Genomic DNA, 8531 nt, shown 5'->3' with positions numbered 1-8531 from the left:
TTTGATGATGATTCCATTCGATTCCATTCAACAATGATTCCATTCGTGTCCATTCAATGATTCCATTTGACTCCATTTCTTTCCATTTGATGATGATTCCATTCGAGCCCATTCGGTGATTCCACTCAATTACATTCAATGATGATTCCCTTCTATTCCATTTGATGAGTCCATTCGATTCCATTCGATGATGACTGCATTCGGTTCCATCTGATGATTCCAATGGATTTCATTCGGTTTCTCCATTTGATTCCATTCGTTGATGATTCCATTCTTTTCCATTTGATGATGATTGCATTCTATTCCATTCGATGATGATTCCATTCGATTCCATTCGATGGTGATTCCATTCGGGTCCATTCGATGATTCCATTCGATTCCATTCGATGATGATTCCATTCGAGTACATTCAATGATTCCATTTAAGTCCATTCGAAGATTACTTTCATTTCCATTTGATGATTCCATTTGAGTCCATTCGATGATTCCGTTCAAGTCCATTCAATGTTTTCTTTTGATTCCAATCAATATTGATTCCATTTGAGTCCATTCGATGATTCCATTCGAGTGCATTCCATGATGATTCCATTCGAGTCCATTTGATGATTCCATTTGATTTCATTTGGTGATGATTCCATTTGATTCCATTCGATGATTCCATTCAAGTCCATTCATTGATTATATTCGAGTCCATTAAATGATTTCATTCGTTTCCATTCGATGATGACTCCATTCGAGTCCATTCAAGGATGATTCCAGAAGATTCCATTCGATGATAACGTTGGATTCCATTCTTTGTTTCATTTCGATACATTTTGGTGATGATTCCGTTTGATTTCATTTGATGATCCCATTCGATTCTATTTGATGATGATTCCATTCGATTCCATTGGATGAAAATTCCATTCATTTCCATTCATTGATGATTCCATTCTATTCTATTCGATGCTGATTCTATTCAATTCCATTCAACGATGATTCCATTCGATTTCATTCGATGATGATTCCTTTCGAGACCATTCGATGATTCCATTCACTTCATTCGATGATGATTCCATTCAATTCCATTAGATGATTCCATTAGAATCCATTTGATGACGATTCCATTCGATTCCATTCGATGATGATTCCATACGATTCCATTGGATGATGACTCCTTTCATTTCCATTCGATGATTATTCCTTTCGACTCCATTTGATGTTGATTCTTTCAATTCCGTTTGATGATGTTTCCATTTGATTCCATTCGATGATGATTCCATTCCATTCCATTCGATGATTCCATTCAATTCCATTAGATGATGATTCCATTAGAGTCCATTCAATGATTCCATTCGATTCCATTCTATGATAATTCCATTGGAGTCCATTCGATGATTCTATTTGATTCTATTCAATAATGATTCCATTCGAGTCCATTCGATGATTGCTTTTGAGTCTATTCGAAGATTCCATTCAATACCATTCAATGATGTTTCCATTCCAGTCCATTCAATAATTCCATCCGATTCCATTCGATGATGTCTGCACTCAGTTCCATTTGATGATGATTCCAATGGATTCCATTCAATGACACCATTCGATTCCATTCATTGATGATTCCATTCGATTCCATTCGATTATGATTACATTCAATTCCATTCGATGATGATTTCATTGGATTCCATTCCATGATGATTCCATTCGATTCCATTCAATGATGATTCCATTCAATTCCATTTGATGAAAATTCCATTCAATTCCATTCGATGATGATTCCATTCGATTCTATTCGATGCTGACTCTATTCGATTCATTTGGATGATGATTCCATTCGATTCCATTTGATGATTCCATTCGATTCCATTCAATTATGATTCCATTCGAGACCGTTCGATGATTCCATTCAATTCTATTCAATGGTGATTCCATTCGAGTCCATTCGATGATTCCATTCAAGTCCATTCTATGATTCCATCTCTTTCCATTCAATGATGATTCCATTCGATGATGATTCCATTCGATTCCATTCAATGATGATTCCATTGGATTCCATTCGATGATTCCATTCGATTCCATTTGATGGTGATTCCATTCGGGTTCATTCGATGATTCCATTCGATTCCATTCGATGATGATTCCATTTGAGTACATTCAATGATTCCATTTAAGTCCATTCTAAGATTACTTTCAATTCCATTTGATGATTCCATTTGAGTCCATTCGATGATTCCATTCAAGTCCATTCGATGTTTTCTTTCGATTCCACTCGATATTGATTCCATTTGAGTCCGTTCGATGATTCCATTCAAGTGCATTCCATGATTTCATTCGACTCCATTCGATGATCATTCCATTCGAGTCCATTCGATGATTCCATTTGATTTCATTCGGTGATGATTCCATTCGATTCCTTTCGATGATTCCATTCAAGTCCATTCATTGATTACATTCGAGTCCATTAAATGATTCCATTCGTTTCCATTCGATGATGACTCCATTCGAGTCCATTCAATGATGATTCCAGTCGATTCCATTCGATGATAACGTTGGATTCCATTCTTTGTTTTTTTTTCGATTCATTTTGGTGATGATTCCGTTTGATTTCATTTGATGATCCCATTCGATTCTATTTGATGATGATTCCATTCGATTGCATTGGATGAAAATTCCATTCGTTTCCATTCATTGATGATTCCATTCGATTTTATTCGATGCTGATTCTATTCAATTCCATTCGACGATGATTCCATTCGATTTCATTCGATGATGATTGCTTTCGAGACCATTCGATGATTCCATTCACTTCATTCGATGATGATTCTATTCAATTCCATTAGATGATTCCATTAGAATGCATTTGGTGATGATTCCATTCGATTCCATTTGATGATGATTCCATACGATTCCATTGGATGATGACTCCTTTCATTTCCATTCGAAGATTATTCCTTTCGACTCCATTTGATGTTGATTCTTTCAATTCCGTTTGATGATATTTCCATTTGATTCCATTCGATGATGATTCCATTCCATTCCATTCGATGATTCCGTTCAATTCCATTAGATGATGATTCCATTAGAGTCCATTCAATGATTCCATTCGATTCCATTCTATGATAATTCCATTGGAGTCCATTCGATGATTCTATTTGATACTATTCAATAATGATTCCATTCGAGTCCATTCGATGATTGCTTTTGAGTCTATTCGAAGATTCCATTCGATACCATTCAATGATGATTCCATTCCAGTCCATTCGATAATTCCATCCGATTCCATTCGATGATGTCTGCATTCGGTTCCATTTGATGATGATTCCAACTGATTCCATTCGATGACACCATTCGATTCCATTCATTGATGATTCCATTCGATTCCATTCGATTATGATTACATTCAATTCCATTCGATGATGATTTCATTGGATTCCATTCCATGGTGATTCCATTCGATTCCATTCAATGATGATTCCATTCAATTCCATTTGATGAAAATTCCATTCAATTCCATTCGATGATGATTCCATTCGATTCTATTCGATGCCGACTCTATTCGATTCATTTGGATGATGATTCCATTCGATTCCATTCGATTATGATTCCATTCGAGACCGTTTGATGATTCCATTCAATTCTATTCAATGGTGATTCCATTCGAGTCCATTCGATGATTCCATTCAAGTCCATTCTATGATTCCATCTGTTTCCATTCGATGATGATTCCATTCGAGCCCATTCGATGATTCCACTCGATTCCATTCCATGATGATTCCATTGAAGCACATTTGATGATTGCATTCGTTCCATTTGATGATTCCATTCGATTCCATTCGATGATGATTCCATTCAATTCCATTCGATGATGACTCTGTTCGGTTCCATTTGATGATGAATCCATTCGATTCCTTTAAATGATGATTCCATTCAATTACATTCGATGATGATTCCATTCGATTCCATTTGATGATGACTCCGTTTGATTTCATTCGATGATTCTATTTGATTCCTTTCGATGATGATTCCATTCTCTTCCGTGCAATGATTCCATATGATTCCATTCAATGATGATTCTATTCAATTCCATTTCATGTTGATTCCATGTGATTCTATTCAGTGATGATTCCATTTGTGTCCATTTGATGATTCCATTTGAATCCATTCATTGATTCCATCCAATTTCATTTGATGATGATTCCATTCGAGTCCATTCGATGATTCCATTCAATTCCATTTGATGATTCCATTGAAGTCCATTCGATTATTCCATTCGAGTCCATTCGATGATTCCATTTGATTCCTTTTGATGATAATTGCATTCAAGTCCATTTGATGATGATTCCATTCGATTCCATTCAATGATTCAGTTTGATTCTATTTGATGATTCCCTTCGATTCCTTTCCATGATGACTCCATTCCATTCCATTCGATGTTTCCATTCAATTCTATTCCATGATGATTCCTTTCGATTCCATTTGCTGATGATTCCATTCGATTCCATTAGGTGATGATTCCATTCAAGTCCATTAGATGTTTCCTTTTGTTTCCACTCGAAGTTGATTCCATTCGAGTCCATTAAATGATTCCATTCAATTCCATTCGATGATAACTCCATTCGAGTCCTTTCAATGATGATTCCATTCAATTCCATTCAATGAGTCTGTTGTATTCCATTCTTCGTTTTACTTTCATTCCTTTTGATGATGATTCCATTCTGTTTCATTCGATGATCCCATTCAATTCTATTTGATGATGATTCTGTTCGATTCCATTCAATGATGACTCCATTCGATTGTATTCATGCCGATTTTATTCGATTCCATTTGATGATGATTCCATTCAAGACCATTCGATGATACCATTCAATTCCATTCAATGATGATTCCATTCATGTCCATTAGATGATTCCATTCGATTCCATTCAATGATTCCATTCGATTCCATTCGATGATGATTCCATTCGTGTCCATTAGATGATTCCATTCAAGTCCATTTCAAGTCATCTGATTCCATTTGATGATGATTTCATTCGAGTCCATTCGATGATTACATTCAATTCCATTCCATGATGATTCCATTGAAGCCCAGTCAATGATTGCATTTGAGTCAATTCGAAGATTCCATTCGATTTCATTTGATTACGATTCCAGTCAGTTGCATTCAATGATGACTCTGTTCGGTTCCATTTGATGATGAATCCATTCGATTCCTTTCAAAGATGATTCCATTCAATTCCATTCGATGTTGATGCCATTCGATTCCATTCGATGATTATTCCATTTTATTTTATTCGAGGATTCTATTTGATTCCATTCGTTGATGATTCCATTCTATTCCGTTTGATGATTCCATTCGATTCCATTCGATGATGATTCTATTCGATTACATTTGATGATGATTACATTCGATTCCATTCGATGATGATTCCATTTGTTCCATTCAATGTTTCCATTCGATTTCATTCGATACGTATTCCACTTGAGTCCGTTAGATGATTCCATTTGATTCCATTTGATGATGATTCCATTCGGTGCCATTTGATTATTCCATTTGATTTCATTCGATGATGATTCCATTGATATCTTTTGATGATTCCTTTCCATTCTGTTCGATGATTCTTCCATTCGAGTCCTTTCGATGATGACTCCATTTGATTCCATTCGAAGATTCAATGCAATTTCATTTGATGATGATTCCATTCGAGTCCATTCGATGATTCCATTCGATTTCTTTCGATGATGATTCCATTCAATTCCATTCGATGATGATTCCATTTGAGACTATTCGATTATTCCATTCAATTCCATTCAATGAGGATTGCATTCAAGTCCATTCGATGATTCCATTCAAATCCATTCGATGATTCCATCTGATTCCATTTGATGATGATTCCATTCGAGTCCATTTGATGATTACATTTGATTCCATTCCATGATGATTCCATTGAAGCTCAGTCGATGATTGCATTTGAGTCCATTTGAAGATTCCATTCGATTCCATTCAATTCCATTCGATTATGATTCCATGCAATTCCATTTGATGATGACTCTGGTTCCATTAGATGATGAATCCATTCAATTCCTTTCAATGATAATTACATTCAATTACATTCGATGATTATTCCATTCGATTCCATTCAATGATGATGCCATTCGATTCCATTCGATGATGATTCCATTTTATTTCATTCGATGATTCTATTTGATTCCATTCGATGATGATTCCATTCTTTTCTGTTCGATGATTCCTTTCGATTCCATTCAATGATTATTCTATTCAATTCCATTTGATTATGATTCCATTCGATTCCATTCGGTGATGATTCCGTTTGTGTCCATTCAATGTTTCCATTCGATTCCATTTGATGATCATTCCACTTGTGTCCGTTAGATGATTCCATGTGATTCCATTCGATGATGATTCCATTCACTGCCATTTGATTATTCCATTTGATTTCATTCGATGAAGATTCCATTGATTTCGTTTGATGATTCCTTTCCATTCCTTTCAATGATTATTGCATTCGAGTCCATTCAATGAATCCATTCGATTCCATTCGATGATGACTCCATTTGAGTCCATTCGAAGATTCAATGCAATTTCATATTATGATGATTCCATTCGAGTCCATTCTATGATTTCTTTCAATTCTATTCGATGATGATTCCATTCTAGTGCATTAGATGAGTAAATTCGATTTCGTTCAATGATGATTCCATTCGATTCCATTCGATGATTCCCTTTGATTCCATTCGATGATGATTCCAATCGAGTCCATTCAACGCTTCCCTTCGAGTCCATTTGATGATTCCATTCGAGTCCAAATTTCATTCCACTCAGTTCCCGTCGATGACGATTCCGTGTGATTCCATTCGATGATGATTCCATGTGATTCCATTCAATGATGATTCCGTTTGAATCCATTCGATGATTCCATTCAATTCCATACGATGATGATTCCATTCGATTCCATTCATTGGTGATTCCATTCATTTCTATTCATTGATTCCATTCCATTCCATTCAACAATGATTCCACTCGATTTCATTTGATGATTCCACTCGATTAAACTTGACAATGATTCCATTTGATTCTATTTGATGATTCCATTTGATTCTATTCGATGATGATTCTATTCGATTCCTTTTGATGATGTTTGTGTTTTATTCCATTCGATGATTCCATTCGATTCCATTCGATGATGATTGCATTCGATACCAATTGATGATTCCATTTGATTCCATTTGAGGATTCCACTCGATTCCATTCGATGATGATTCCATTCGAGTGCATTCAATGATTCCATTCGAGTCCATTTGATGATTCCATTCGATTCCAATCAATGATGATTCCATTAGATTCCATTCGAAGGTTCCATTCGATTCCATTTGATTCCATTTGATGATGATTCCATTACAGCCCATTCGATGATTCCATTCGAGCCCATTCAATGATTCCATCCAATTCCATTCAATGATGGTTCCATTCGAGTCCCTTCTTTGATTCCATTCGATTCCATTCCCTGATGACTACACTCGGTTCCATTCAATGATGATTCCAATGGATTCCATTCGATTTCTCCATTCGATTCCATTCCTTGTTAATTCTATTCGATTTCATTAGATGATGACTCCATTCGATTCCTTTTGATGATAATATCATTAGATTCCATTCAATGATGTTTCCATTCGATGCTATTCAATGAAGATTCTATTCGATTCCATTCGATGATTCCTTTCGATTCCATTGGATGGTGATTCCATTAGTGTCCATTTGATGATTCCATTCGATTCCATTCGATGAAGATTCCATTCGAGTCCATTCAATGATTCCTTTTGATTTCATTTGATGATGATTCCATTCGAGACCATTCGACGACTGCTTTCAATTCCGTTCGATGATGATTCCATTCGAGTCCATATGATGATTCCATTTGATTTCATTCAATGATGATTCCATTCGTTTCCGTTCGATGATTCCTTTCTATTCCATTCAATGATGATTCCAATTGAGTCTATTCGATGATTCATTTCGAGTCCATGCAATGATTCCATTGGGTTCAATTCAATGATAATCACATGGGATTCCATTCGATGATTCCATTTGATTCCATTCGTTGATGATTCAATTCGATTCCATTTGATTATTTGATTCGATTCCATTTGATGATGATTCCATTCGATGATGATTCCATTCAATTTCATTCAATGATTTTATTCGATTCCATTTGATGATGATTCAATTCTATTCCATTCGAGGATTCCATTCGATTCCTTTCGATGATGATTCCTTTTGATTCTATTCGATGATGATTCCATTCGATTGGATTCTATGATGTTTCCATTCGAGTGCATTCGAAGATTTTATTCAGTTCCATTTGATGATGATTCCATTCATGTCCATTCGAAGATTATATTAAATTCCATTCGATGATGATTCCATTTGAGTCCATTCAATGATTCCTTTCCCTTCCGTTTGATGATGATTCTATTTGATTCCATTTGATGATGATTCCATTCGATTCCATTCAATGATGATTCCATTTGAATTC

This window comes from Homo sapiens, chromosome 2, assembly GCF_000001405.40.
Source record: "Homo sapiens chromosome 2, GRCh38.p14 Primary Assembly".
NCBI lineage: Eukaryota > Metazoa > Chordata > Mammalia > Primates > Hominidae > Homo > Homo sapiens.
This window is presented reverse-complemented; position numbering follows the sequence as displayed.